Genomic DNA, 17,488 nt, shown 5'->3' on the forward strand with positions numbered 1-17,488 from the left:
TAAAAAATTCAATCCTCACACCCTGTTATTTCTCCTACATCATCTTTTAGATTATTTGTTTACATTATTTGACATTTAAACATTGACTTTTGGCCAGGCACAGTGGCTCGTGCCTGTAATCCCAGCCCTTTGGGAGGCTGAAGCAGGAGGATTGTTGAGCCCAGAAGTTCAAGGCTGCAGTGAGCTATGATCATGCCACTGCACTTCAGCCTAGGTGACAGAGTGAGACCCTGTCTCTAAAAACAAACAAACAGAGAAGTTGCATTTTTTCCCTAAAAAGTAAGTTGGAGTCATGTAAAATTTGATAGGCCTCTAACGGCTTATTTTTCTTTAAAGTATTAAACATAAAAAATACTCAAAATCTAAAGATACAACATTATTAGACAATTAACATTATTTACTGACTTTCTGTAAATACAGTTTCCTTCACTAAAACTTAGGCTTCCTGCACACAGGGCCTGTGTTTTATTAATCTTTGAGGCCCCATTCAGGCAAACACTGGGCTTTCACAGGAATACTTTCTTGAATTCCAAGGAAGAAAAGTCATTAAATGAAACACGATGTTTTGATTAAGAAGGAATTTCTCAAGATTTTTATAAAAACAAACAAAACAACAATAACAATAGAAAGAGGCAGGGACAGGGAAAGGGAGAAGAAGAAACAGCTATAAACCACCTACGTTCATAATAGAACTTTTGGGACCTTACTGATTGGGAATGCTTGTGAAACACCAAATATGTCATAAGGAGGGAGAATTAAGGTTAATCTAAAATAATGAGAACACTTGTTCAACAAAATATTTGCTACATGCCTATTGTATACAAGGCCTTGGTGACAAAATGTTGACCAATACAGACATGATCCTAGCCCTGACAGGTTACATAATAGTGGGAGATACAGAACGGTAAACAGGCAATTATCACGTGGTATGATATATATAAAAGGAAGTTTATAGCGTTTTAGGAGCTCATAAAAGGAGAACCAATTCCATGCTTGGAAAAGTGATGTCTAAGTGGGACTAGAGCTTTGGAGTTCTCTAAACCCGAGTTCAAATCCTGGTTTTACAGGTTACACTCTATAACCCTGGCCAATTTATTTAATCTCTCCAGGCCTCAGTTTCACCAACTTTAAAATAGGAATTATGATAGTATTGAGTTCAAAGAGTTGATGTGAGTATTAATGAAATGCACATCATAAATCTGGTATGGTGTATGGCAAGTGGCAAGTACCCAATAAATATTAGCTAATAATAGTGATAACAGTAAGCTGAGAACTTAAGACAGATAAAAGGGAAGAGAGGAAAGAGGAAGAGTACCCGGACAAAATAAAAGCAATAGTCTGGTGAGCTTCAGTGAAAGAACCTCGCTCGATCCATGGATCAGGGGATGCTTGGGGTGGGATCAGAGGTGAAGCTGAAGCTGGAAAGGCAAGCACAGCCCAGCTCAATGGGTTTATCTAAGCTCAGTGGGGGCCCCTTGAGAATTTTAGTCAGAGAAGGGACAGGATCAGATCTGAGTTTTTAAAAGACCAGCTTGGCTACAGTGTGGGAATGGAATGGAAAATTGACAAGACTAGAGGCAGAGATCAGTGACAATAATTTTAAAATAATTCCTTGGCTACTGTGGATTTTCACAGTTGGGAATGCAGACATCACATGAAAAAAATATACAGCAATCCATAGAGGGTCTTGAAGTAACTATCTTCTTGTATTAGCATTTCATTCATCATTCATTCATTCATCCACTCACTCAACAAGCATTAACACCTACCAAGGCGGTGAGCTGGTGCCGTGAGAGATTTCTACAAGCATTGCCCTACATGACTCTGCCCTCCAGAAGCATCCCATCCAACACTGACTGCCCATATTCCTCTCCCTGCCTGGGAGGCCTGTTACCCTGGTGACCCAGATCATGTGCAATGCAAAGGCAGGCACCAGCAGGAGACCCAAACCCAGAGGCAGTATCACATAGTAGAGAGATGTCACTAACTACATCAGTGTATAGCTGACTTCTTATTAACGGAGTAAATCTTCCCTGATCCATAGTTAAGTGAATAATAATAGTCAACATTCATCAAATGTCCTGTCCTGTGAATTTCAGGTAGATTAATACATCTATTACAACAACTTTGTGAAACAGGTATTATTATGTCCACTGTATAGATGCGAAAACTGAGGCAAGAGACACTCCCTAAAGGTCACAGAATTAGAAAGTGGTAGAGCTGAGATTCAGTCTAATGTTTTTATCCACTACACCATGTGACTTCTGGCAGTGGGCCACCAGGCTGATATCAGAATTAAACCAATTTAAAATGTATGCTTCAAAATCTAGGCAGGGGAAAAAGATCACTGCTCACTTAGGTATCAGGGAGGCCAAAGCTTGGAAGCTTTTATTATAGGAATAAAATGAAATGGGTGAATAAATATGGTGACAGTCTCTTGAGAAGAAATTGGACTACTCTCATCAAAAGAGTGCCATTTTGAAAGGGTTTTGAAATCGATTTTGCTCTTTTAAGTTCAAACCATAGCTCTGCCATTTGGCCTAGAACGCATTAGAAAGTATTCAAATGGGATTACATTCCTTATCAGTTTAAAAGAGTGGGACATCTCACAGACTCAAAGATGGAGAGGTGTGGCAAAGACATCAAAGGGCTAGCAGAGATCTGTTACTCTTTTGGTTTTCTGTTAATGGAGGGTGAAATAAAAGCTGATTATCTCGATGAGAAATTAGTAGAATATGCTTATTTTCTCAGACCATGTGGCATTCCATCAACCAAGTAGTGGAGCAGGTGAGGAATAAGCATATTTTATCATAAGCTCTATGAGGCATTTCCAATGTGAAGTGAATACAGACAAAATAGAAAAAAAATTCTTAAATCTCCAGAAATGAAAGAAACCACTAGCTTCTTGCAATGCCACTGGATGCCAATAGCAACGGAGTCTTGAGCCTGGGCTCTTAACTGGCAATGAGAAGAATCCCAGGCCAGATGGCATTTTAAAATCCAATCTCACTCTATTTGTCTCTCCCCACTAACCTACATTGCACTTAAAGCAATCAGCCATTTCACAAGCTGCAGTATTTCAAAGTAGTTACAACCCTTGAGAACAGAAAAACTCTCTTAATTGCTGTGAGTTTAAAAATATAGAGAATAAAAATTATGGAATTTGTGAAACAACCATCTCTAATTAAACACGCTCGCTAGCACACACACCCAACACCGCACAGAGTACAGCTTTTCAAACCTAGCCCATTCATGCACACATTTAGCACAGCTCACCAACAAAACACTTTTCCTTCCATTCATTCACTTACTAGTCCCGTTCTTTGGGACTCACTCGCCACCACTGAAAACTAACTTGAGAAGCCCCAGGTCTGTGGGCACCGACACCCCGTTAATTCATCCAGCTTGTCCTGCTCCGAGCGCCAGGCAGGACTTGGGGGCTTCGGTGTCACGACTGGCGCTGCCCCCTGGAGGGACGCCCAGCCTCCACCCGCCCTACCGGAGCGGCACCCCTCGCGGCCCTCGCTCCCTGGGAAACACTCAGAGTTGCACTGTCGTCGCTGCCGTTTAATTTTCACAAATAAAAATGCCCGTGAGACGGAATCCCCCGCCCACCCACCTGCCCGAGACCGTACAACCACATTGAATCGGATCCTCCAGAAGGCTGCCGGCAGCCGGGAGGTGTGAACAATGAACTTCTCTCTGACTCTCTGACACACACACACACACACACACTCGCCCCCCGACGGGAAGTTGTGAACTACTAGCCCGAGGGCCAATGGCGCGACTCCCCAGGCAACACGGCGGCCGGCGGCGGGGGAGGGCCTGGCGCGCGCCCCGGCCGCGCCCCTCGAGTCGGCAGTTACCTCCTTCCTCCGGCTCGGCGCCCCGGGTCGGGTGATGAGGGCCGTCTCCTCGCACACCACGGCCACGTCCTCCACGAAGACGCAGTCCGGAAGGCTCTCGTCGGCCGGCAGCTCCACCACCTGCAGCCCCAGCTTGCTGCCCAGCACGCCCACGTAGAGCTGGTGCTGCCGTTCCGCGCGGGCGACGTCCACCTCCTCGCCCTTGGCGCTTCTCAGCGCGTGCTGGCCGAGCGACTCGGGTAGCGCCCGCACCACGGCGTGGGTGGCCCGGCCGAAGGCGGCGGGGTGGCCGAGCCCGGCCATGGCTTCGGGAGGCTTAGGGGCGGCGGCGGCGGCGGAGGCGGCCGGGTCCTGCCGCGGGCAGCGCGCGCTGAGCCTGCGAGCGCCCGTCGGCTCCTCTTGGCAGCCGCTGAATGTGGTGCAGAAGGAGCCCAGCTCGCGCCCGGAGCCCTGCCCGCGCGACTGAGCATGCCCAGAGCTCCGGGCGCCGGCCCGCGCGCATCCCGCGCGCCCACTCCGGCGCTCGCGGGTCTCGCGCCAGCCCAGGCGGGAGTTGTAGCGGCGAGCGCCGGGCGAGGAGTGGGGCCAGGAGAGGCGGCCGGGGAAGCAGCGAGGGCAAGAAGTATGCGGAGGCGGGGGACCTCGGCGAAAAGCCACCGCTACCCGGACCTGGCGGTACCTGTGTTCTGTCGCAGGTGCACACCTCCCATCGTCCCCAGCGCGGACTTGGAGAGCCGGCCTCGGTCTGGACAGAGCAGCTGGAGGGCTTCCTGGTCTTTACCTGAACAGTTTAAACCTTGCGTGCTTACAAAGTCTAGCCCACTTTTGAAGAGCTATAATGGTTTACAGATTCTTCATGTTGAGCTTAAATCCCACGGGTCCCAGTTCTGTTTTCTGGCCTTACCTAAAGTACAAGTTTTTCTTGTTTTGTGTGTGTTCGCGTGTGTGTGTGTTTTCACAAAACAGCATTTGCATATCTGAAAACAGTTCTAATTATCTATGCTGCCTAACACCATCCTCTACCCCCCACCCTAAACCCCCTCCAGTCCTGGAGCCCAAACCACTGAAAAGTAACTAGTGATTTGGTTTCCAAGTCCCTTCAACATTCTGGTCAGCTTCCTTTTGATACACACCAATTTGCTTGTATCCTTTTAAAATCATAGTATCCGGAAAATAAACAATTCTTCCTGTGTGGTCTGACCAGCACAGACTACAGCAGCACCCTTGTTCCAGATGCTGGGCCTCTATGAACACTGCCTAAGCCTGTATTCACTTTTTTGGTGGTCTAGGGCCAAGGCCCAGGCTACAGCCTTCTTGCCAGAACTCTGATCCCAGCTTTTAGGAAACTCTGGATTTCTAGGAGCAGGTCTCTCTGAGCATCCTAGAATGGTTGCCCCAACTGAGCCCAGAGATGTGATCTGCCTTCTCTCCCCTCCCACAAGGGTGGTGTGAATTTATAAATGAGCTTCAAAATTCTCAGCTTCACATTTGAGGAGTTTTTTTTGTTTTTTGTTGTTGTTTTGTTTTGACGGAGTTTCACTCTTGTTGCCCAGGCTGGAGTGCAGTGGCACGATCTCGGCTTACTTCAACTGCTGCCTCCCCAGTTCAAGCAATTCTCCTGCCTCAGCCTCCTGAGTAGCTGGGACTACAGGTGCACGCCACCACTCGCGGCTAATTTGTATTTTTAGCAGAGACAGGGTTTCACCATGTTGGCTAGGCTGGTCTCGAACTCCTGACCTCAGGTGATCCACCCGCCTCCACCTCCCAAAGTGCTGGGATTACAGGCATGAGCTACCACGCCCTGCCCAAATTTGAGGAGTCTCAAGGACAGCTCTGACACTGACATTGGGAAGTGGGACCAAAAGTAAAATAACAAACCTTTAAGACCGACTAGGTAGTACTTCTAAAGCAAAATTCTTAGGGGATCCAGGCAGCCCCATTAGCCCCAGTTTAGCGTCAGAAATCACTTAATGGTGTCCTCAGATGGAGGATTTCCATCAAAGTTACAGGTGAAAGTTGATCTTTTACCTTAAGCTTGCCCTGGTTAAATATAAAATTTATTTATTTTTAAATTAGTTCATTATTTATTCTTTTTTTTTTTTTTTTTTTTTTGAGATGGAGTTTCGCTCTTGTTTCCCAGGCTGGAGTGCAATGGCGCGATCTCAGCTCACTGCAACCTCTGCAACCGGGGTTCAAGTGATTCTCCTGCCTCGGCCTCCCGAGTAGCTGGGATTATAGGCATGTGCCACCACGCCTGGCTAATTTTGTATTTTTAGTAGAGACGGAGTTTCTCCATGTTGGTCAGGCTAGTCTCAAACTCCTCAACTGAGGTGATCCGCCTGCCTCGGCCTCCCAACGTGCTGGGATTACAGGCGTGAGCCACTGCACCCAGCCTATTTATTCTTATTATATATTGTTTATTTGTTTAGCTCCCGGGTTAAATAAAGTATAGGACTTCATTCTGCTCTTTACTGCAGACTTTACCAGACATTGAGGCTCCATCTGTCTCTAGCTGGCCACCATCTAGCAATCTTCATTCATGCCTGTGCCTTGTTGGAGCCTGAATATTTCACCTACCACTCAGTGCCCTGAGTCTAACTATGAACAGGGTTCTGTGTACCACTCTGGGCTCATGTCAGTCTAGCAGCCAATTAAAACCTGATGTTAGCCATGTCTTTCCATACTGAAATTGGGTACCTGTTCTTTTAAAATCTAATTTTGTAGTTATCCCTGTTAAATGTTATTTACTTATTTCTAATTTGTCTAGTTTTGATTCTGTTATCTCGTGCATTACTTATTACTTCTAATTCGTGCCATCTGAAATTTGATAAGCATGCCTTCTATTTTCTCTAAGCAGTGGTCAAAAAGTGTTAGAATGTATATATTAGTAAAAAAGAATAATAAAAATACCAAATCCATTAGATTATAGTTTACATGCTTTCACACTTCAGCAATGAAGGACTGTTTTTAGGAAAACGGACTTTATTGAGCTTAATACATTGATATGTTCATTTTTCCCATGAATATTTATTGAAAATTCCCAAGGCACATCACCATGTTATGCACTTCAGAGTCACAAAAGAAGGAAGCACAAAGACATGATCCTTACCTTGAAGAGCTCACAATCTCACTAGGAGAACAAGACATCCAGAATTGGAGCTGGGGTAAGTGCACATGAGAGGTATAGATAACAAAGTGCTACAGGAAGGTAAGGGAAAGAGAGATCTATCTCTATGGTGGGTGGGAGTGGAAGAAAGCTGCTTGAAGATGATTGGACTTGGTTTAGGCCTTAAATAATTTTTGGATGTGAGTAACTGAAGGAGAGAATGAGAATTCTAAGGGAAAGGCATTTTCAAAGGACAGTAGGTAGATCTATTTACATATCTATAGCTGCTGTAACAAAACAACTCCAACACATATAATGGCACAAAATTGACAGAAGCTTATCTCTTGTTCACTCAAAGTCTAGCACAGATGTTCCTGATTGATTCTCAACTCTTTTTTCCAAGCAATATTCAGGGATCCAGCCTTCTTCTATTTTGTGGCTCCAACTCTTCTACATGTGGCATCCAAGTTTTCCATGCTCACTGTATTAGTCAGTTCTCATGCTGTTAATAAAGACACACCCAAGCCTGGGTAATTTATAAAGGAAAGAGGTTTAATGGACTTACGATTCCACATAGCTGGGGAGGCCTCATAATTATGGCAGAAGACGAAAGAAGAGCAAAGGGATGTCTTACATGGCGGCAGGCAAGACAGCTTGTGTAGGGGAACTCTCCTTTTTTTTTTTTTTTTGAGACGGAGTCTCGCTCTGTTGCCCAGGCTGGAGTGCAGTGGCGCAATCTCGGCTCACTGCAAGCTCTGCCTCCCGCGTTCACACCATTCTCCTGCCTCAGCCTCCTGAGTAGCTGGGACTACAGGCACCCGCCACCACACCCAGCTAATTTTTGTATTTTTAGTAGAGACAGGGTTTCACTGTGTTAGCCAGGAAGGTCTCGATCTCCTGACCTTGTGATCCACCCGCCTCGGCCTCCCAAAGTGCTGGGATTACAGGCGTGAGCAACCGCGCCTAGCCGGGAACTCTCCTTTATTAAACCATCAGATCTCATGAGACTTATTCACTACCACGAGAACAGTACAGGAAAGACTCGTTACCATGATTCAATTACCTCCCACCTGGTCCCTCCTACAATACATGGGAATTATCGGAGCTACAGTTCAAGATGAGATTTGGGTGGGGACACAGTCAAACCATATCACTCACCTTCCTCAAACTGAAAGAACAAGAAAGAACATACAGCCACCACATGTGAAAGGCTTAATGGGTCAGGCCCAGAAGGGATGCATATCACCTCTGCTCCCATTCTTCTGGCTAAAATTCTGCCACCCAGCTACAATAACCACGAGCAAGGGCTGGAAAATACATTCTGCTGTGGGCCCAGAAAGAAAAGAAAACATGAGGTTGGGGAAACAGCTAGCTGGTGTCTGCCTCCAGAGAACAGTGGGGAAAATGGAAAACAAAGGTGGAAAAGTGGGCTAAGCCTTCATCACATCAGCTGTGGGGAGGCATATGGTGTGGAAATTAAGAGCATAGCTTCTAGAGCCAGACTGTGTAATGAAAGCTTGGCTCCACTATTTCCTTGTTTTATGATTTTAGACATGTTACTTAAAAACTCTTTGCCTCAGTTTCATCATCATCTATAAATGCGGAGCAATGAACACGTTATCATAGAGTTATTATAAATGTTAATATTGCAAAGTGCTTAAAAAGTGCATAGAAAGTAACTAGAGCCTAATAGATGCTCAGTAAATATTATCCATTGAGAGGTTTTGAACAGAAGGCTTTGCACATGATTTCCTACCGAATGCCAAAACACACGTACACATTCACTGAATTACCAGAGTCATATAGCTGCTTGAAGGTATGCTTTCCAGGAGAATTTGTGGCCTTCCTAGGTTGACAGACCAAATCTCACCCACAAGTGTAATCATAGATTCAATAAATATTTATTGAACCCTTGCCATATGCCAGGTATTGTGCTAGGAAATGGGGATGTAATTATGAATGGTAATTATGAATGATAATTATGGCTTATGGTCAAATTGTTCCTTTTCCTCTTCTGGACATTTCAAGACCTTTATAAGCAATTTCCTTTAAATTCCCTCTGTTTGACATACCTAAAGCTATTTCTGTTCTGGTTGGATGTTGATTAACACAGGGGCAAGTTTTCTTTTCCATTGATAATATTGCTGGTATCTTGCCTTATTTGAAGTCAATTTTAGATAGCAAGTATCTGAAGATTAAAACAGGCATTCCTGTCTTACTCTTTTCTTACTCCATTTTAGCAGATACAAGATTTACTTTCATAGGAGACAGGTGTTTTGAGATGGGGGTGTGTATTAGTCTGTTTTCACACTGCTGATAAAGACATACCCGAGACTGGGTAATTTATAAAGAAAAAGAGATTTTATGGACTCACAGTTCCATGTGACTGGGGAGGCCTTACAATCATGGTGGAAGGCAAAAATGCACGTCTTACATGGCCACAAGGCAAGAGAGAAAATGAGAATCAAGTGAAAGGGGTTTCCCCTTATAAAACCCTCAGACCTTGTAAGACTTATTCAGTACCACAAGAACAATATGAGGGAAACTACCCCACATGATTCAATTATCTCCCACTGGGTCCCTCCCACAACATGTGGGAATTATGGGAGCTACAATTCAAGATGAGATTTGGGTGGGGACAGAACCAAACCATATCAGGGTGGGAATTCTCAAAGAGAAGGAGGGCTCAAGGATGTCCTTGTCCAACCTAAGTGCTAGAAATATCGGATAAAGTAAGTACCATAAATCTGCAATTTGACAGTAAGTCCTGAGTGTTTTAACATAATTATTACATAAATGTTTACCGTGAAAGAAACCCATTGCTGCAGATTGCCTGTTATATCCAAAGAGTGAGTGGTGTTTGGTTGAATGGGCAGGCAGTGAGTTACAGACCCAGAGATGGTTCCACGGTAACCAGGACTCTGGTTCCTAAAGTCAAGACACATAGCCTCCTAATCTCAGTTTCTCCAACTTTCATCTGGGGTTTCGTTCATTGAAGAAACATTTACTAAGCATCTACAGTATGTATGGTAGAGGAATACATAAAAGCAGTGGATAAGGCATGGGTTTTAGATTCAGACAAGCCTGAATTTGATTCCTGGCCCTCCTACATTCTGGCTGTATCACCTTAGTGTACCCAAGACCCGTGTTTCACCATTTTCTGTCTTGCTTGAAGCTGTGGAGGACTGATCTTCATGGACTTCATCACCTGCGATCCCATTTTTGTTGGTTTTGGTGAATGGGATATACTTACAGGAGACTGGAGGACAAGAGGGGACAGAGATTGGGGTATTTATTTCTCTGGCTCCCTTCCTGCTTTTTCATGGTTGTAGCAACAGCTCCATCCTTCTACAATCATAGCTTCTGCTGGCGGCCCCTATTCTATGGTTCCAGCTCTCAGCTGGGTTCTGATAATGCTGTTGCCTTCCATTATTCCATCTAGGGGTAGTATTGGCTTCTCGTTTTTGCTAGTCCCTGGGTTCCTCGTTGGTTCTCTTTACCTGCTCACACCTCTAAAAACATTCCTTTTATTAAACATGCTCTTCAGAATTCTTTAAGTATGCCATTTGTTTTTTACCAGGGCCCTCACTTATAACTCATTGTTACATACATATATGTGTATATGTGTGCACACACATTGCCTTGAATTGATGTGTAAAGTGGGAGTTATAATACCTTGTTTTCAGAGTTTTGAGGCTGAAATGTGACAGCATATACAAAGGATCTGAGCATTGCTTCTAGGACACAGTAAATACTCAATTGTGATAGCCACTAATATTAACAGTTATTGTGCTCTTGTGCCAGGCATTGTATTCATTATGGAGTATCCATCTGCCTCTGTATAAAGTGCCTATTTTCACTACTTAAAATACCCAAGTCCTTCAAATGAGATAACATAAAGTGCCCACGACAGTGATAGGGACACTGCAAACACTCAGTGCTTTCTGCACTTCAAAGCTCAACCTTCTCTGGTCCCCACCTCCTCCTGTGCAAGCAACACATCCCTTTTCTGAATTTCTGTAGCTCTTTCTGTGTTCCTCTGTTGGGGCTCAGAAAACAATGCCCCAAAATGAAGGCCTCAGAAGCAGCCTCAGAGGTGTAGGTTTGTTCTCTGACCTTCTCCTGCCCTCCTGTCCCTCAGTCCCATGCCCCACTGAGGCTAGCCTCAGAAACTAGAATCCCTCTTCCCCAGGGCGGGTCATAGAAACCAAAATGCCTTTTTCTCCAAAGCCAGACATAAAACCTAAAAATATTACTCCAACTTTCCTTCTGCCCTATTTCTGTGAAAACAGGCCATAAAGAAATTATCTGACATACCTTGTTTGTAGATCATAAGACCCCCATTCCAGAGAAGGTCATGTCCCATCCCCAGAAGGAAGGAATGCTGCTCAGAGAGGCGAAGGAGAATCTAGGCAGACAGACCTGGCTGGGCTTCCTTGCTCAGTTTATTAGCATTAGATCATACCTTTTTGGTGCAATCATATTTCTACATGGCTGTCCATACTTTGTTAAACCTAAGCATAAAATAGATCAATTTCTCCTGTGTCTTTGGGTCTTCATTCTGAAGGCTCCCATGTGTACATGCTAAATAAATTTATATGCCTTTTCTCTTATTAATCTTCCTTTTGAGAGTTGATTTTTCAGTGAAACTTCAAAGGGCCCTTGGTCCCCACACCGCTCTTATGCTGCTTATTACTTTCTCCTAGCACAGTGTAATAACCCACGGATGCCAGAGTCATCTGCCTCATTGCAACCACATTAGGGGCTAATGAGATAACCAAAATATCCTGTAAAGTTCAAAGTACTATATAAATATGTTGAGTTTTAACAAGTTTGTGATGTATTATGGTAATAAGCAGAGGTGAGTGTTGCTCCAAACTTTTTTTTAGATTCAGCGGGTACATGTGCGGGTTTGTGACATGGATATGTTGCATAATGCTGAGATTTGGGCTTCTGTTGAACCCATCATCCAAGTAGTGAACATAGTACCCAATAGCAAGTTTTTCAGCCCTTCCCACCTCCCCTCCTGTCTCTTTTTGGAGTCCGCAGTTTCTGTTGTTTTCGTCTTTATGTCCAGGTGTATTCATTGTTTAGCTCCCACTTTTAAGTGAGAACAGTATTGCAGTATTTGATTTTCTGTTTCTGCTTTAATTCACTTAGGATAATGACCTCCAGCTGCATCCATGTTGTTGCAAAGGAAATGATTGCATTATTTTTATGGCTGTGTAATATTCCATAGTGTATATGTACCACATTTTCTTTATCCAATACATCACTGATGGACACCTAGGTTGATTACATTACTTTGCTCTTGTGAGTAGTGCTATGATAAATATATGAGTGACAGTGTCTGTTTGGTAGAACTATTTCTTTTCCTTTGGGTAGAAGGGGATTGGGATTGCTGGGTCAAATGGTAGTTCCCCAAACTTTTATATTAGCTATTTTTTCAGTTTTTCAGAGCTTTTTGCAACATTATTTTTCCAGAAGTATGTTTATGACCATTTGATATTCAATATATATTTATGGGGAAGAAATAGTTTGAGGGGAAAGATCTTTCAAATTCTAGGAAATCTAAATGTAGAAGAAAAGAAAAACATTACTCTACATTTAAAATTGTTATATATGTATATGTATGTGTACACACACACACACGCACGCGCACAGGGCTCTGATAACCCCCTTCATTTCCTTGTGAAATGAAGTTGCTTCATTTTCTTACGAAGCACAGAGAAATGCCAGTTTCGCAATGCCAGGGAATCACTGTATTTGCTTTTGTGGTATTAACGCACAATGGTTTTAACATAGCATTGGTATACACATGTCCAAAGAATCCTTTGCTTCAGTGATGCTTCTCTCTCATGACTTCTTTTCTTCTGCCAGTCTGTCTCTCTCCCTCTGCTTCTACTCCATTGCTTTTCCTCATTCTTTCCTTTAAATGTTGGTATTTCCCAGAGTTCTCTAGCCTCCATCTCTTTTCTTCCAACTTTACATGCTTCCTGCTTTGGATGAGCGAATCTAGGCCCATGACTTCAAATACACCCCAGTGCCAACATGGCTCAAACTTTCATTTCTGGTCTTTTCCTGCCCAGCTTCAGAACTACCTAAAAGACATCCGTATTTGGCTGCTCCAAAGGCACTCCAAAGTTGACATCCCAAAGCACAGCTCATCATATCCTGCCCAGGATTGCTCCTTCCAATCCCTATTCCATTCATACTGGTAGTTGCTTAAGCCAGTAATCTGAGTGTTATCCTTTGGCTCACGTTCTCCTTTACCTCCACATTTAATCAATCACCATGTTTTGACCAATCAATCCCCTTAAAATGATTCAAATCCACCCATGTCTCTTCATCCACTCTGCTACCACTTAGTCCAGAAAATAATTATTGGTTTCCTAGATTACTGCAACAGCCATCTTATCCAAGGCAGTCTTTCTGAACTGCAAATCTAACTGCCATTGTCTTGTCTAAATCCTCCAGTAGCTTCCCAGTATCCTCAGAATGAAGTCCACATGTTTTACCATGGCCCACCCAACACCCCACCCCCATGATGTGGCCTCTGCCTACTTGCCATCCTCATTCTGATCTCATCCCTATTCTCTCTTACTTGGGCTTCTGTGCATGGTTTCCCATTTCCTGGAATGTGTGTGGCCCCATCCCTGCTTGGGTAATTCCTAATCCTCTTTAGACTCGTTGAAGTCATCACTCTATTCAAGAAGACTTCCCTGGGTCCCCAGGTGGGATGAGATGCATCTGTATCCCTGTTTTGACTCCTATGACAAAGCACTGTTTTACTTGCTAATCCAAGGAGCTCTTGGCAAACAGGCACATCTTGTTATTACTGGATCCTCAATTCCGGTGTGTAGAGAATGGCTGAATTAAAGCAATAGATGGCATTCCTTTCTCCCCACTCTCATCAGCCCACTTTCATAAGAATGGGTTTCAGTTCCTATAAAATAAGAAAATTATACTAGGCCCCTTCCAGCTTTAAGAATCTATGATTCTGTTGCTCCCAATGCTTATAAATTGCTATGGGAGAGTGGAGGGTTCATGGTCAGGGTTTGAACCCTGGCTTTGTCACAGCTGTGTGATCTTGTACAACTTGCTTGACCTTTCTGAGCATAAGACCCTCATTTGAAAAATGAGGGTAGTAATATCAATCTTACATAGTTATTATGAGGACTAAATTAAATTAACTTAGACAACATATGAAATATGTTCTTCGTCTCCCTTCTGCTGAGGGAGCCCTTTGTTCAAAGGAGCCCTTTGCTCAAATGCTGGCTCCACTACTTACTATCTGTACAATCCTGGTCAATTAACTTCACATACAGAGCTTCAGTATTTTTCCATTTGTAAAACAAAGATTACACATATATTATGACGTAATGAAGATTAATGAGATGATCCATGTAAAGCTTTGCAGCATGTAGATATAGCAAGTGCTCAACAAACGTTAGCCACTTCCATGATGATGGAGGAGGAGAAGGGGGAGGAGGAGGGAAAAAGAAGAAGATATGCAAAGCATAGCAATAGTTGACTTTCAACAAAGGTTACTCCCTTTCCTCTTTCCTATTCCATTATTGGTTGGGGGAAAGCTTCATTTACCCATTCTAGGGTCAAACCCCATTACAATAAAATTATTGCCCAACTTCCCCTGCTGAATGGGAACCTTCTTATATTAAATTTTGGTAAGAATTACCTACATTTTAAATAATTCAGGTTACTTAATTCAATATGTTTGACAATGTATAGGCATAACTCTTAGAAAAATAGATCATGTAAACACTGTCAGATTATTTCCCCACACTTTCTTTTTCTTGCCAGCACCATTATAAAATTATAGAGGGCTTCCATATATCGGGACCTGCATCATGCAAAAATGGTTGGGGTGGAGTGGGAGTAGAGGTTCCAAACTTCTAGTGGCTTTATGGAGAAAGCCTCACTGTCCCTATTACCTGAACTCTTACCTCTGAGGTGGTTGGGTTTTGTTTGTTTGTTCGTTTGTTTTTGGTTTTGGTTTTTTCGAGACATGGTCTCACTCTGTAACCCAGGCTGGAGTGCAATGGCACAATCTCGGCTCACTGCAACCTCTACCTCCCAGGTTCAAGTGATTCTCCCACCTTAGTCTCCTGAGTAGCTGGGACTAGAGGTGCACGCCACCACACCCGGGTAATTTTTGGTTTTGTTTTTGTGTTTTTATACAGACAGGTTTCGCCATATTGCCCAGGCTGGTCTCAAACTCGTGAACTCAAGTGATCTGTCTGCCTCAACCTCCCAAAGTGCTGGGATTACAGGCGTGAGCCACCATGTCCAGCCTCAAGATAGTTGTTACACGCTTCTTTATTTTGCCCTTCACCTACTTTCTCCTCTGAATTATCTTTCCTCAGCTCCTTCTTCTCATGCATTTACTTTTCTTACTCTTTGTTTCAGTTATTGTTGATGCACAAAAAACTACTCTGAAACCTAGTGGCTTTATAAAACAGTCATTTTGTTTGGACCATGATTTGTGGATTAGGAATTGGGGAAAAGCTTGTGTCTCTGATCCACATGGAGTCCACTGGGGCAGCTGAAGCTGGGAACCACTTTCCAGCTGACTTTCTCACGCACATCTCTAGTGCCTCAGTGTTGTTCAGCCTGACCCCCAGCTCACCCCCTCCACACAGGTCCCTTCTTCCAGAGCTTCTTCATGTGGCTCAGGATTCTCACAGAATAGTGGTCCCAGAATAGTCTCATTTCTTGGTGGTTGGCTTCCTACAGGTGAGAAGTGGAAGCTGCCGTGCTCTTTAGGGGCTATGCACATAGCTAGCATGGCATGATTTCTGCTATCCTGTACTGGTCAAAGCAGTCACAGGCCTGCCCATCAAAGGGAGGGGAACAGACACTTTCTCTTGATGGAAGCAGTGTGTATCATTAACCAGTCACACTCTTAGTATCAAGTTCTGTTATTCTTCCAAGATAGTATTTCAATAATATTTTCAGAAAAATTTCTTTCATTTTCTGAAGTTTTGCTAACTTTTTTCTGAATTAAAAACAGGGTCCATAATACACAACTAGCACTAGTCACTGACTAGTAGTAGGTGCTAATACTGTCTAGCAGAGAGACAGCTATGAATCAAACCATCACTAAATACTCACAAACTAAGTGCTGTAAAGGAAAAGGACTGGGTACCATGAGCATGTATAATAACGTAAATCCCATATGTCTGGGGGAATAAAGGAAGACTTCCCTGGAGAGGTGACTTCTGAGCTGAGAATTGAAAGATGAGTAGGTATTAATCAGGAGTGGAGAGAAATTACCAAACTGAGCCGAGCATATGAGCAAAGACACAAGGTGGGAGGGAATTTAGCATGTTGGAGGAAGGAAGAGAAAAATCTATGTGCTACAGCTGGAATGTCAGTGATATTGTTAACCTTGTTTTAAAGCTGAGGGTCAGCTCCTGGCTGAGAGCCCTGACACAGGTAAGGGCTCCATAAATACGTGCCTCCCCAATGACAGGGGGCCTGTCAATAATATGCATCCGCCCTCAGGCCTTTTCTACAGCCTTTACAACTAGAAGAGTGTCCCCTACAACCTCATGACATCTTACGTGAGAACCATGCAGATTCAGAGAAGTCACCATTGAAAACCACCCGAAGAAAACATTATCTACCGAAAATATAACACATCCTGGTGGTTATTATAGAGTGGAGTTAAAATGTAAATCAAGATTAACTCACACCAAGATTATCCTGCTCTTTAGAGATGATATATGACTCACACTACTGTCTCTGCTATACTATATATAGCAGAGATAGTATATGTATATGCATATACTATCTCTACTATATATAGAAATATATATAGTATATTATGATGTGAAATTTTGATGTGAAAGCTAGAAGAAAATGGTAATTTGTGTTCATACAGGTCACATATGTAGCTACGTACTAAATTTTTCAGGGAATTTATTTAAACATCTCAACCATCAAATTAGCATATGCATCAATAAAAAAATGCTGTACAAATTGTCTATAATTTATTGTACAGGAAATTTTATGCTTTTATTCCCTAGTATATGGGCTTCTATTCTCTATTCAGTTTTTGTTATTTTAATATATTAAACATAATTGCAAAAAATTAATGATCTATGCCATCTGCCAACTCAAAATCTCCTAATCTCAGTTTCTCCAACTTTCCTTCTAAAAAAAATTAGAAAAGCCTTTAAAGAAAGTATTTTTCAAAAATATAGGGAAAAAAGGGAAAGGAAATTGCCTTGGAAAGCAAATTTTTCTTCTGTGAGAATGCTGACAGATAAATCATTTTGGAGAGAAATGGGCAAGAATATTATATAGAAAAATCAGTTTCATTTTTATAGAAAACATGGGTTTCCACTAAAGACCATATCATAGGATACATCTTTAAAAAGAAAAGAGAAGTTTCCACTCTAACTTGCTTTTTGCCAAGAATGCTTTCTGACATCTTAATTAATTTTAGGAATTATCTGTATTAGTCTGCTCTCACGTTGCTAATGAAGATATA

At 43.0% G+C, this 17,488-nt stretch overlaps 1 protein-coding gene across 5 annotated transcripts in view, besides 2 other annotated features; it reads right to left on the reverse strand.

The window, feature by feature from the left end:
- Window positions 1–17,488, reverse strand: part of DDAH1 (dimethylarginine dimethylaminohydrolase 1) — a 259,716-nt gene that overhangs the window by 142,392 nt on the left and 99,836 nt on the right. The window contains exon 1 of one of the 5 annotated variants that reach the window (NM_012137.4): window positions 3,867–4,283. The exons of 3 other annotated variants lie outside the window; for them this stretch is intronic. In NM_012137.4, coding sequence (NP_036269.1) covers window positions 3,867–4,169 — 303 coding nt within the window. In that variant the 5' untranslated portion in view covers window positions 4,170–4,283. Of the gene's footprint in view, window positions 1–3,619; window positions 3,724–3,866; window positions 4,284–17,488 lie in introns of those variants that run through there. One more of the 5 variants, XM_017000889.2, reaches the window with a different exon arrangement.
- Window positions 3,692–3,891: a silencer, noted in NCBI's record as "silent region_1034". NCBI's record gives its function as "represses an Ori minimal core promoter by ATAC-STARR-seq in GM12878 lymphoblastoid cells {active_cell/tissue: GM12878}" and the evidence as "EXISTENCE:reporter gene assay evidence [ECO:0000049][PMID:35858748]".
- Window positions 4,132–4,541: a silencer, noted in NCBI's record as "silent region_1035". NCBI's record gives its function as "represses an Ori minimal core promoter by ATAC-STARR-seq in GM12878 lymphoblastoid cells {active_cell/tissue: GM12878}" and the evidence as "EXISTENCE:reporter gene assay evidence [ECO:0000049][PMID:35858748]".

The sequence above is a fragment of the Homo sapiens genome, chromosome 1 (assembly GCF_000001405.40).
Source record: "Homo sapiens chromosome 1, GRCh38.p14 Primary Assembly".
Lineage (NCBI taxonomy): Eukaryota > Metazoa > Chordata > Mammalia > Primates > Hominidae > Homo > Homo sapiens.